This window comes from Homo sapiens, chromosome 4 (genome assembly GCF_000001405.40).
Source record: "Homo sapiens chromosome 4, GRCh38.p14 Primary Assembly".
Taxonomy (NCBI): domain Eukaryota; kingdom Metazoa; phylum Chordata; class Mammalia; order Primates; family Hominidae; genus Homo; species Homo sapiens.
The window spans coordinates 95,543,068-95,556,932 of NC_000004.12; the positions used below are offsets into that span (position 1 = coordinate 95,543,068).

Here is a 13,865-nt window from a genome sequence, read left to right on the forward strand (position 1 = left end):
TTGAGCTAAGAGATACTGGAATAATACCAAAGGTCTCATATTCATGTAGCCCTCCTCCACAAATACATAAGCAATAACAAATCCAAGTAAGAAATGAAACCAAAGAAGCATCCATACATAGGTTTAAGAAATCAGGTTAAAAAAGAAAGAGTGCAGAACCAGAACCAATAATAGAAGCAGAATGACAATTTTGTAGGAGAAAAATCTAAACCGTAAGTAATATAAAATGCCCTACAAATCTCTTATTTTATCTCAAAAGTCTGACAGAAAACATTTGCTCCAAACATGCAAAGAATGGCAATAACCATTAAACAATAAGAGTTAGATGCAAATATTTCACCAAAATATATGTCATCTAGATTATCTGTGCTGTTTTAAATTAGGATAACGAAACTTCCTATTGCAAATATAGTTTGAATAAATGAAAGTTCTGGTGAATTTTCTTTGCCTTCGTGTTGACCTATTTTTATGTTTATTTTGTTTGAACAGAAAACCAATTATGTTCTTTAGAGTATATACTTGTGTCCATTTTCTTTTAAAGAAAAACTGTCCACATTCACATAAAGGTCTGATTTTCCCCAAACCCTTATCAGAAATCCTGGGGTGTACCTTTTTTCTGTAATAGTGTTCATGGATTTATGAAAAGTTATCTTTCAGTATCCCTTGAGAAAATAGAAAGTCAAGGACGAGCTTCTTGCAAGGACTTAACTGGGAGTGACTTAACGTGTCATTTTTAGAACTAATATTAGGTTAATTTTCCCAGAGAGAACAGAAGGGAAGAAAAGAGACTGTGGAAGGGAATGAGATTCCCACAGGCTGTTCAGAGAACTGTACTCTGTCCAGGAGTTTACAATGATCTACTCCGCAGCATCTCTTCAGATAGCTCCATTTCTTGCTTTTGGGGAAGCAGTGTCAGCAGCTATCATCACTCTGAGTTCAAAATTATTGACCTTTAGTTTCTTTTACATCTAGATTTCTTTGCCAACGGTTTGTAGAATTGAAAGTCAAGGAATAATACTTATTTTCTATGAGCTAAAAGCTGCTCTAATTGTAACCTGTAGTATATATTATCCTCATTTTTACATATGAGGAAACTAAGGCACGGAAACGTTAAATGTCTTGCTCATAGTCACACAGCTGGAGGTGCTGGAAGCAGTATTAGGAAACATTGGTAATCACTATGTTAACTGACAGAATGGGCATACACCATTAACAGCTCTTAGCCTGTGCCTCCCCAGAGCCAGATGAAACTTGCATTAAATCTAAGTAAAATGCTGTTGCAACGCAAACTTAGCTTCAAGAACATACAACTTCCAGCCAAATCACTGCTCCCACGTTCTTCTGTGTAGAAATTTTAGAACCCCCCACCCACCACTCACATTAGAATCCTAGCTTCACCTATGTTTACTATCTTCGGATGTCTGAATCCAGAAAGTACTATACCTGTGTCCGCTTTTATACTTAAGAAAGTGAATTATAATTCCATGGTTCTACTTCTGTCTTCCTGTAGGGCTTAAACTGCCTGGTTACATTCCGTTTCTAACAAATAGCATTCAGCCTAGGATGCAATATGAGTGCACAATAATTGCTTAAGAACTTTACTTCTAATACCATACTCTATCCATAGAAGCCATTGTTTCTAATTTGTGAGGAAATGTGAACAGGTTTGTTTTTAACTGCCACAAATATAAAAGTCAAACTAAAAAAATATGTAGGCTAAAACTTCAAGGCAATAGCACTGGCTCAATCTCAACCCCCACAATTTTCCCCATTATCTTCCTAAAGTGGTTGCAGCCTGTAATTTTAATGTTTCTTCTGAGAGTGACTCCCTCTGCTGCTTCTGCAAAGCCATGACCTAAATCAGAAAAGTGTTAAACGCAGTTAAGGCCTAATAGAGCACACTTGCTGTTGGCACTAATTGGAGAACCTAGCATACATTAGAGAACAGTTATGTTTAAGTCTCAACAATAATTCTAAATAAGCTAACAGGGTTTACTTAGCAGAGCTCATGCCTTGTTCATGTCCTTAGGGGGGGTTGCTTAAAATAGACCCATACAAGTTCTGACTAGGACAACCAGCTCCAAACTACAATAGGAGGTGTTCGAGGACCCTGTCTTATTTAACTCTTTACCCTCAGTATCCAGAATACAGGAGTCCAGGGAGTCAATAAATGTCAGTTATAATCTAATGATTCCTAATTCTTTGCAAGTGTTTGAAAAGTTTATTCTTTGAAGATTTTAAGCATTCTCTAAGCTAGAATACACAAAATTATTTTTCTAAACAGAAGTAAACTAGCCTACTTTTCCTTATTGCATATTCCTAATGTGAATTCATAAACTTTCTGTACTCCTACAATGAAAAAGTATACGATAGAATTGTAATGAACTTTAGTTGTCTTCACTGTTGACTGTCTATTTGTACCACACCAATATGCAAACATGCATAAAGGAATTTTTACTCTTTTGTAGGAAGACATATGTTATTTAAAAAAAAAAACTATGAATTAAGATAATAGGGAATTATCCCAATCTAATTAGAGACTTCAGTAATTTTTTGTCCTGAGTTTGGTGGTGTTAACACTCATAACACTAGTTGGAGCTAGATAAGCAGCATATCAATGCTGTGTAGCCCAGATAAAATGCATTTATAAACCAGGAGGGTCCTAATTCAGAAGCACACTGATCTCACACACACGCGCGCGCGCGCACACACACACACACACACACACTGCCTTTTACTAGTAAAATCTTTCATTCTTGGAAGTCACAAACACTACAAATTCCCTGGAGCTAGGAGTTCCCAGCAATCCTGAATGAAACAATTAGGGCATAGCCAGAAAGGAGAAAGTTGTTGCCTACAGCCTAGAGAATTTCCCAAGGACCTATTGAAAATGACTGCTGCCTAAACCACAGTTACAAAACTCAGTACACTCACAAATAATGCCTATTCTATGTTTTATCTTAAATATCTGTTGTTTCCTTGATTATCTCTGAAGATATATATACATACTTCTAATTTTTGCAGTACTTCAGCAACAGAATAAAAACCTCATCCACATTGTAAAGTGCTTAAAGTAACTTTCCCATGTTAATTGCTCTTGGACTTTCATTCATAAGAAATAGTTCATTTGGATCTTTAAGTCATCACCACAAGGAAATCATACCTTGAGGGTATGGGCTAGTGTTCTAGTCCAAGGAAAGGAGAAAGAAGAAGAATAAGAAGGAAAAGGAGGTCTGACTATCAGACCATTTATAAAATGTGTGATTCTGCAAGGAAAGTGTTAACGGTGGCTCAAGATAAACAGGCTGGGTTACTGTACTGCAGTGATGAAGGTAGTAGCTGATAGTGGAGTTTGGTGCTTTATCCTTCCTTTGATAACTAACAGACAACACAGGAAGAGCTGCTATCCCTGGAACATGGAGGATAACAAAGATAAAAGCGGTGGAATAGTGCATTTTACAGACCATGAGATTCAAACAAAAATTTTACTAATCAAAAACTGAAGGAACTAAATAAACGAAATGGACAAGAACTGCAGTGAAATGCATACACCCAACGGAGTACATTTTCTTTTTCCACTTAAGATGAGAATCAGTCCCCAATCTTTAACTTGCCTACGCTACAAAAAGTGCAAGAGAAAAAGTCTATCCTAAGCATCTTTTCTTTTTAATCTCTTCTCCCTTCTTCTTTCAATATTAATCCATTTACAATCTGCTGTTTGATTATCTTTATTGATCCTTTTTCTACCCAGTCTTTTTAATTTGGTTATTGTAAGCTCTTAGCAGGAATCCTATCTCTTGTTTGGCATCTTTGGGGACTTTAACTTGTCTTTTTCCCAAACAGTTCTCTCACCGTGCCCCGTCCCCCTCTCCCGCCACCCACCCCCATGGCTCAGTCCTTTGTATGCCCAGTAACAGCAGGCGAATTCCACAGGGAGTCGCGCGGTTGATTCCACGACTATTCATAAGGTTGTTCACTTAAGCTTCCAAACACCCCCCTCTAAGCACCCTTGGCTAGCGCCCTGAGAACTTCTTATCAATTTTAGGAAATCCACAAGCTATGATTCTCGGTGGAGATTCCTTTTTAAATAGACAGACAGATGAACTCTGGAGGTGTGCATAAGAAAACCAGAGCAGAACCTCAGGGATGGGAGGCATCTGGCGAGAAAGGAAGGAAGGATTTATGAGCAGGGCCACTTAGCAGGGCAGCAGGAAAATTTACTTCCGAAGAAGCTATCGCTAATTCACAAAGCCTTGCTAATCACTTACCTCTCCACCCAGACCGCACTCCTATGCTAGGCGCTCTCCTCCGCTTCCAACACCCCCATCCCCACCCCCAGCGCCTCTCTAAGATCAGAGGGAATGCTGTCCGGAAACCCTAGGGTGTCTGAACATCACCTGGGGAGTTGGGGCTATCGTAAAGCCTCCCTTTACTCTCCAAATTTGGAAGGAAGAGTAACCGAGAGTGAAGGGAGAATCCCTGAATTGCCTCTGAATGCTGCATAAGCTTCCTTCATTCTCTCCTCTTCCAGGAAAAGCTGAGCTGCCTCGCCTGAGCCGGCTATCACCACTGAAGTGGGCTAAGAGACCCAAGTAGGAGCTGGGCTTGGCCAGAAGTTTTGGGGCCCAGGTGACCTGAAAGAGACCCCGGAGGGGACAGCCTTGGCTCTTTCTTCTGCGCTCCCTTCCAGTCAGCTTTCCCGGCTTTGAAGGCTGGGAGCTGCTGCTAACACTTCAAACTAGGCGGACAAGAAGGGAGCCGGGCGATCAGCTCCGGAGCCTCCCCTCCTCCCTTACCCATCCCCAACTCCCGGCCACACTCTTCCCAACCCGGCTTCGCCCAGGGCCCCGGTCACTTATGTTAAAGTTCACAGGCGTTAAATTAAAATGTCAGAGTTATAAACTGGTCGACTACCCCGGGGAGTTTCGGATTTGGTTTGAACAAGCAGCCGGTTCCCCCAGAGCTCCGGGATTTTCATTTCTACATCCCCTGGTGGGAAGCAGGCATGAAGCGGGGTATGTATGAGTGCAGAGGCATGCACATCCCGGGCCTGCCTCCAGCCGGGTACGCGGATTCGGGTGAGCTGTGTATTTCCACAGCACCTGAAGCAGCAGGCGAGGGGGACGGGTGCTTTTGAGTCCTTGACAGTAATGGACACATTTCCTTAGCTGAGCGCCCTTCGGGGTCTAGTGTGCTCAGAGACTCAGTGAAGATCCTGCTACCCCAGTCTTGGCACAGCGCGGGGAGCCTCTGCGCATCATGCGCTTCGGGGTGCATCTACGGTATGTCACACAGCCACCCGCACCGAGAGTCTTTCCAAACCTCCGTGTGTGCAATATGCAACAACGTGCGCGTGCGGAGCTGAAAGGGCACAAGACACTCCAGGCTCCCACACGTATGGAGACGGATCGGCTGCGTGTCCACACCCCGTTCGTCCCTGGTCCATTCGTGCCCATCTCAGAAGATAGATTAAACATAATAATAATAATAATTATTATTATTATAATCAAAGCTTCTTGACTAGTTGGGAAAGTGGAATTTAGAGTGGTTTCCAGTTGAAAGCAACGAGGCAAATTGAGGAAGTCAAGAGAACTGGGGAGGAGGAGAGGAAGGAGGGAAGGAAGAAGCTAAGGGAGGTGGCCGCGGAGCTTGGCGGACCCCCTTACCTTGGGCGGCGGAGCCAGTGCCGCTGGCGCTGAGCAGGGCCAGGGCAGGTAGCACGAGCATTTGCAGCAAGTATCCCAGTCCCAGTCCGCAGCGGGCCGCTGTCGCCCGCAGACCTTTCCTCATCGTAGACAGAGGTGTGCCGGGGGGAGGGGAGGGGGACAGAGAGACGCGCAAACAGCTGAAAGCCCCACTGGGCAGAAGCTGAATCCGTGCACCGCGAAGCAGTCCGAAGAAATAACGACAACCAAGCGCCACACTCCACTTTCTCCAAAGGCAGGGGCCAAAAGGGGGAGGAGAGGAGACGCCGAGGAGGAGTTTGAAGGTCCCTCTTTCCCAATGCCTTCTAACTGACGTCTCCCGCGAGCGACTGCTCTGCCCCCACTTGGGAAGTCCAGGGAGGCGCAAGGCGGCCACCTCCGCCGCTCCCCCCAGCAGCAGGAGCAGCCGCAGCTCCGCCGCACGCCGAAGTCTGGACTGCTCTCCGGGTCCCCTCGCCTGTGAGGAACACACACAGACACCGGGGGTGGGGGTGGGGGTGGGGGTTGAAGTGGGGGGAGTTGGAGGAGGAGGGAACGGAGGGAGGAAGCTTGGGCACCGTCAGGCGCTCTGGTCTCCAATCTCAGTGTTCTCACGCCGGCGGAGAGATGTCCCGGCTGTCGCTGCTGGGTGGCCAAGGAGGTTCACATCCTAGAGTAGGGCGCACGGGTGCGCGAAGGCGCTCGCCAAGGAGGCGTAGAGGGCGCAGCACAACTCCTCTGGGGGGTAACCGGGGGCGGGAGCACGCCCGCCCGCCTTATGTAAGCAAGGATTGCAGGGAGATCAGCGCCCAGGAGACCAGCTGTGGGTTTGCCCGCTGAAGCCGAGGCGAGACAGACCAGGGGACGAAGCGGCTGCGGAGAGTGGCAGCGCGCCTGCCTCCCGCGGTGCGCCAGACCTGGACGCCGGGAGTGCAGCGGGCGCGCCCCGGGCCACTAGGCTGTGTCCAGTGGAGCTCAGCCTGCCGCCTGCCACCTTCTTCGCCGCGCCGGCAAAGCCTCAGCCGAATTCCCTAGGACTGGACTCGGTCTACGACTTCGGGTCTCGCGGTTGACGAAGCCGGTGCGGGCTCGAACTGAAGTCCTTCTTGGTTGGGGAAGAAGGCATGAAGCTTTTGCACTGCCCCAGCCGGCTGCTGTCCTGGGGTTGTCAGCGCCAGTCAGACTGCTTTATGTTCTGAGCGCGTATGACCCCTTTGCAGTGGAACAGAAACTAAAAGCTCGACGGAAACTCATTCTGCAACAGTGCTTTCTTTGCGTGCATGTTGGTGGCTGACAAGGGTGGTGATGCGATACCGAGAGAAACTCTCTTAGAAAAAAAAAATGCAAAGCAAAATTTGTAGATACTCAAAGTGATGGTGGAGCCTATAACATGTTTTTCAAATTTCTAATAGTGTGTGTAAGAACTCGAGCTGCTATGAATTTGTTTACCTTTCTACAGGAAATAATTGTCTACGTAGCTGGGTTGTGAATCCCTGTGGTCATGATGGAGGGATGCAAGATTGGGTGGGTAAAATAAGACTAGACAAAAGGAAAGTGAATTTATTAAAAGGTCAACACACAGACACAGACAACATTTTGGGAAAAAGAAAATCACTTCCCAAGATTAGCATGTCTTTAAACTAATAATACATCAGGGAATTTTATGCTCTTGGTGCCAAGGGGGCCATGTGTAAACACGCATGCACACACACACGCAGGAAACATGAGGTCTAATTTTGGCTGTGGTCATAACTACTCTGTTACCCTGGGTAAGTCAGGTAACCTGTGAATGTCTCAGTTTCTTCATTTGTGAAATATTTTGATAGTTTCAAAGTTCTCTTAAGTTCTAACATTCTATGATTCTGCCTGCACAGCCCCATCTAGGCAATAAGACCTATCTCGGATGAATCAGGGAGATCCGAAAAGGTAGTATTTGCCAAAGACATTGACAAAACTGGCCACTTCTTATTTCTGTGGAGACTCTGTCCACCACACAAAACCCTTCTTCACTCTCTTCATCTTCTCCATACCAAGACATCAAGATATTTGACAACAGGGTGGGTGCTGGCACCAGACTGTCTGCCTTCAGTTCTTAGCATTTCTTATTACTTGACTGATATTGAACATTAAAGCTAGGTGCCTCTCTTCCCTAATTTGTAAGATGGGTCTAGTAACAGGAACTATCTCATAGGGTTATTTGAGGATTATGTAAGTTAAACATATGTAAAATGCCTGACGCCAAAATTGTAAACTGCTGTTCTTACCATTGATGAAAAATTCCCATTAGCCTCATGCTATCTACACCAGTGCTGTTCAGCAGAAATTTCTGCAATGAAGAACATGTTCATATCTGTACTTTCTGAGGTCGTAGTTATGAGATACATGTGGCTACTTGCATGCAATGTGGCTAGTGTGAATTGGAAATTTTTATTTAATTTTAATTTAAATAGTCACATGTGGCCAGCAGCTACCATATTTTATGGTGTATCGAGGCCACTAATAACTTGTCAAGTATTTTGAGAATGACTTCACAAGGGATTATTATTATACTTTATATTTATATGTACAATTTTACTAAGAAGGACAACAGCTTAAGTACTAAGAAATCTCCACACATACTCACCATCACATCAACGACATCCAAAAGTTATTTATTTACAATTTTATTGCCTGTCTTCTTAAATTAGAATTTAACTCTTTTAAGACAGAGATTTTGCCTTTGTTCATTATTTCAACCACAGCTCCTAAACTGAGCCTGATATATAGTTGGTACTCAATCAATATTGACTGATTTCCTGCCAAAAAAGCTCAATGGGGAAGACTCCTCAAAGTCTAGGACAGCTAAAGAAGGTTGAAATTGTCGCCTACTCCTGTTTGGGGTATTGAGGTACTCAGTGACAGATACCACATGCAATTAGTTCCTTAAAATAAAGAATACGAGATTAAAAGAGGAAATGTAGTTAAATACTGAAATTCAGCCTAAAGATGGCAGGAGAATGGTTTGAGAAGTGGTATAGAGTAATGAGGTGGAAAAGGGGGAAGAGAGTGAGAGCACCACACAAAGGACAGGAAAAACACCAGCAATACATCAGCTTTACACAGCAGGCAAGTTTCCTGCTCTCTACAAGTACAGATGGAACTTGTCTTGTGAATTAACATCCTGACTACTTTTGTTGATCATCACATTTTTTCCTCATGAGAGAAATAATAGTGTTTTATAGGCTCCTGAGAATAGGTTTACTAAAGTCATCGAGATCTGGGTTCAAATGACACTGCTTAGGGAGGCATTCACTGATCAAGTTACCTAAAATAGCAACAATCTATCATCCAAAATATCATTTGCCAGCTTTGATTTTGCATATAACACTTACTTTATATATGTACATATATGTGTATATATATATTTGTGTGTGTGTGTGTGTATACATGTATATATATATGCAGTCTGCAATAAAATGTATGCTTCTCAGGGGAGAAATTTTTTTCTAATACATTCAGTGCTCTATACCCAGAACCTGGAACAATACCTTGTACATAATAGGTGATCAATAAATACTTACTGAATATTGAATGGATTGAATCAGAACCAATGGATTTAAAATTGAGCTAAGTCCTTCATTAAACCTTCTTCCTCTCCTCTTCAGCCTCTCAAGTTATCAAATTATGAGTAGGCTTTTCTAGTTGTTGAATAAAATCAAGTTTTGCCAAATTTTCACCAAAAATTTATTGGAATTTGACTTTTTAGGGTTGGAATACTGCAGGTGTTTAAGGAACAGACAGGAAATTCATCTCATCTTGAAAAATGAAAAGCTTCATTTAAATCCATATACAAGGGCTTTCTTTTTCTTGGCTGCAGTGAGTGGAGAATTAACTCTAGGATAATAAATCCCAGTGACAGGTGCTAATGGGAATTAAGCATGCAAATCCCCTGCATATCCCTCCAGAAATCTACACCAAGAAAAGTATGCTATTTAGCATGTAGGCTGCTTCATAATAATATCATTTACTCGGAACTAGTACTGAAAAAGTTTCCAGTTTAAAGCTTAAATCAAAAACAATTGATCATATATTTTAATTATGGAAATATTTTCTTTCATTGTATCTCTCTCCTTATATGTTTGATTCCTCACTTTTTATATTTTTTGTGTAGGTTTAAAAATAAATCTTCATACCAGGGATATTATTAACTGCATTAACTGGCAACATAGGAGAAAGAGGATTTTAGTGAATAAATAGGATGGTGATGAGGAAAACTCCTTTCCTACAAGTTGGGAGTTCAGAGACCTCACATAATGTTACTGATAGACATCAACGAAGGAGAGCCAGATGGTCTAGATTCAGTTGATTCAATCCTCCTTCCCTGCCTTAGCCCAGAGAAAGAGATTTAACTTGTCATAAACCAAAACTCTCTAGGGCTTTCTGCTTTTTATTAATTCTATTAGATAAGACCCATTTGGTTGCAAGTGAAAGAAACCCAACTCGAACCAGCTTAAGCAAAAAGATAATTTATCACTGTGCATAACTCAAAAACTATGGATAAGAAATATCTATTTAATAATAGATACCATTTACTATCACTCACTGTGTGTCAGGCACTTTCTAAGCTCTTTACATGTGCTATCTCATTTAATCATCATAACTGAATGAAAGTGCCATTATTATCTCCGTTTCATAAATGAGGAAACAGAGTGGTTATGTAACTTTGCCCAAGGTCACACACAGTTAGTATTTACTAGCGACAGTCTGATTTGAGGGATGATGTCTTAGACCCATGAATTTAAATATCACTCATGGGACTTAGTACTTCCCCCCACCCTCAATATCTTGGTTATGCTCTCCTCTGTTTTGGTTTCATTCACAGACTTATGATCTCCATCCTGGGATTCCCAGCAGCTCCAGGTTTACATTGTCTTTATCATTGTCAATCTCAACACAAAGCACACTCGTTTCCAAATGGCAAAAAATAAATACAGAATTATGGCCCTGGCCTATCTTGGGCCACATACTCACAACTGAGGCAATTACCATGGCCAGATGTTTGGCATATACTGAATGGCAAGGCCTGGTCATGTGCCAATATTTGCCAACTGGAAACTTGGATTGAAAATGGGGATAAGGGGTTCTCCAAAAGGATACAATAGAAAATGATTAATACAAAAAAAAAAAAAGATGCCAAAGAGAATGGATGTAGGGCAGACAAAATAACAAATCCCTATTCTGTGGTATATGAGGCAAGATGAGTTCTCCAGGCTTTTGTGCAACAACACATCACTGTAGCAAAAGAAGAGCACTAGTTAAGAAAGGCTGAAGAGCAGCCAGCCCCCTGTGGATTGCTTTTCCCATTAACTGACTGGAAGAATTAAATCCAATTCAATTCAGAAAACTTTCACTTCCCCCCTGTTATATTGTGGTTCCACTCTAGGATCCCTAGGGAAAAATATGCATGAGGTATAGTCCTTGTGTAGCAATGGCTCAGAATCTTACAGGCAATATAAATGAATAAACAAAAGGATTTTAAATAAACACAAAAATGTTGTGGGAATATAAGGATATGGGAGCCTGAGAAGAAGATTTACCTAAAAGTAAGACACACACTTGTGTATCAGCAATACTGTTCTTCACACAATGGGTGTATTTATCTCTAACGATAAGGAACCTGGGAGTAGACAGTACATGGCCACTGTGGAAGCTCAGTTATGCTCTTTTCATGTCTTGGCTCCATGCTCCAGAATGTACAGCTTTCATTCTCACAGTTGCTTGATAGCTTTTCCACCTCCAGGAGTCATGTTTCACTTTTCAGGCAGAAGAAGGTGGAACAGTCCTGAGGGGCTGCATCTAGCCTAGATGCCTTCCAAATAACTTTTCTGGAAGCCCTCAGCCCAAGTAGTTTCCATTTCCTTGACGGTCTGTCAAATAGCCCCCTAAGATCAATCACAAATGGTGGATAAGGAGAAGGGTGTTGTGCATGTTGGCCAGATCATCTGAGTTGGACACAACTCTGTTGGAGAGGAGCAACAAGGGGAAGGCACAGAAAGAAAGACATTAAGACAGGGCATTTGAGGGTGTATTTGAAGAATTACAGGTAAATGAAAAATAGTTCTATAGTTGGTTGAGAAAAAAAGGAGAAAAGGGAGGAAAGTGTTTTCTTTTTTCTTTTTTCTTTTTTTAGAGATGGAGTCTTGCTATGTTGCCCAGGCTGGAGTTCACTGGCTATTCACAGGTGCAATTATAGGGCACGACAGCCTTGAACTCCTGGCCTCAAGTGATCCTCTTGCCTCAGTCTCTGGAGTCTCCAAAACAGGGGAAGGGTGAGTGTGTTTTCTATCACATTGGGAAATAGAAAGATGGAAAGGACTCCATTATTCAGTTCACTAAAGTGTATTTACTGAACTTTTGGAAATTGTGTAGCATTGAGGTAGAGTTTCATGGAGTTTATAGTTGGACTGTAGAAATAATATTTATAAAAAAGAAGCAAAGCAAAAAATAAAGAAAGATACCAGGAAAGATGGAGAAAAAAGAAAGGAAAGGGAGAAAAGAAGAAAGGATGCAGGGGACAAAGGAAGAAAGGGAAAGAAGAAAGACAAAAAGAAGAAATAAAGGAAGAGATAAATAAAATCCAGTGTGATTTCTGCATTGGTGTAGCATGTTGTAACTGCTATTAGAGGGAGCAAACAATGAAAAGGTCAATAAAAACTTAAGGAAAATAATAGAATATCTAATTTAGAAGAGTATTACTGGGGATAGAGATTATAATTATTGCTTACCAGAGCTTTTCTAATATCTCATTTTATTTTAAATTTATCTGCCAAGTTAGACCATAGTCGTTTTTCTCATTTTACAGATGGAAGAAATAAAATACATAATGGAATGGTGGGAAGACTCCGGATCAGGAAACATGAATTTAAGTCTCCATTTATCTAAGTTATTTGCTCAGAAATCCCTGTAAGTTCTTTGCACGTATTTGTTATAAGAAATGATAACAATATGAATGCACAAAGTTCCTGTGACTATAAAATCTGTGTGAAAGTGCTTTGTAATATGTCTATACTGAAGATGTCATTATGGTAAGATATGCTTTACATTGTCTATTGTACTTAATTTACATAATCATCTGAAGAATAGTATTAGTGATGTGGCTTTCTATACATGAATGATACCACCCTAGTATAACCTCTGGAGCTATTCTCAGTATCTCCCTCCTTTGCCCACATCACCTATTCAATTACTATTTTATAAGTCCATTCAATTTCACTACTTAAAGGGCTACAGGATCTATCCCATTATCACCAGCCCTACAGACTCACAATATATTTGCTTGTTACCGAGAGGTCTTGTAATTATTTCCTTAGTAGCTAGTTTGCCTTTACATTCTAATCCATGCTCTCCACACCTCCCAGAAAGACCTTCTAAAATGTAAAACCTGTCATTTTACTGTCCTAAAATCTTATTCAATGATTCCTCACTGCCCCAGACCTGCTTTTCCAAAGACCATTACAGGGAACTCCTGTCCTTAAAAAAGCAGTTCTAGAATGAACAGAGGATGATAGGTTGCAGTATTCTTTATTCTTTACTCCTTTCCAGTTAATAGAATTACCCGATTATTTCCTTTGCACTATGCCTTGCAGGACCACCCACTGCACTGTGGGTCGTACTGGCTTCCTCTCTCACTGATGGTAGCTTAGCCATGGGACTTGCTTTGGCCAGTGATCTTGGGCAGGTGCTACAGTGTGCCAGTTGCTCCCATTGCATACCTCTACTCATTTTCATGTGCTCTCACCATTAGTCCTAAGGCATTAGAACATTTTCCAGGTAACCACCAAACCAAGGTGGATAAGAGACACATGGAGAGATGGGCAGCCTGGAGCCTTGTGCTTGCTGTGTGGAGCCCAGAGCCTGAGTTGCATCAGACCAAATGACTCATGAGCAAGAAAAAAAAGGTGCTTGTGTTCAGCTACCGAGTTCAGGGTTAATTTTTTATGCAGCACTGTTGCAGCAAGAGGTGTCTAATGTGCCTAGTGTGAGAAATCGTGTCCTCAGATTAAGCTCAAGATAAATAAAATGACAATCTCCCTGATAGTATTACTAAGCTAATAGAAAATAAGACAGACTATAGAACTAAATAGGCTGACTCTGAAAAGTGCGGTGAGAGAGTTATAGAAACATCACTATGGGAGATGAGAG

General features: G+C 41.9%; 1 protein-coding gene and 1 long non-coding RNA gene across 4 annotated transcripts in view, besides 1 other annotated feature; one reads left to right on the forward strand and one right to left on the reverse strand.

Annotated features, from left to right (window-relative positions):
• UNC5C (unc-5 netrin receptor C) overlaps positions 1 to 5,906 on the reverse strand; it is a 386,470-nt gene extending 380,564 nt beyond the window's left edge. For both annotated transcript variants that reach the window (NM_003728.4, XM_005263321.4), the window contains exon 1: positions 5,667 to 5,906. In NM_003728.4, coding sequence (NP_003719.3) covers positions 5,667 to 5,790 — 124 coding nt within the window. In that variant the 5' untranslated portion in view covers positions 5,791 to 5,906. The remainder of the gene's footprint in view (positions 1 to 5,666) is intronic.
• Positions 5,907 to 6,080: 174 nt separating this feature from the next.
• Positions 6,081 to 13,865, forward strand: part of UNC5C-AS1 (UNC5C antisense RNA 1) — a 38,581-nt gene continuing 30,796 nt past the window's right edge. The window contains exons 1-3 of one of the 2 annotated variants that reach the window (NR_183914.1): positions 6,081 to 6,164; positions 11,854 to 11,992; positions 12,526 to 12,626. This is a non-coding gene — a long non-coding RNA (UNC5C antisense RNA 1). Of the gene's footprint in view, positions 6,165 to 6,481; positions 9,394 to 11,853; positions 11,993 to 12,525; positions 12,627 to 13,865 lie in introns of those variants that run through there. The other variant, NR_183913.1, reaches the window with a different exon arrangement.
• Positions 6,348 to 6,477: an enhancer, noted in NCBI's record as "active region_21730". NCBI's record gives its function as "activates an Ori minimal core promoter by ATAC-STARR-seq in GM12878 lymphoblastoid cells {active_cell/tissue: GM12878}" and the evidence as "EXISTENCE:reporter gene assay evidence [ECO:0000049][PMID:35858748]".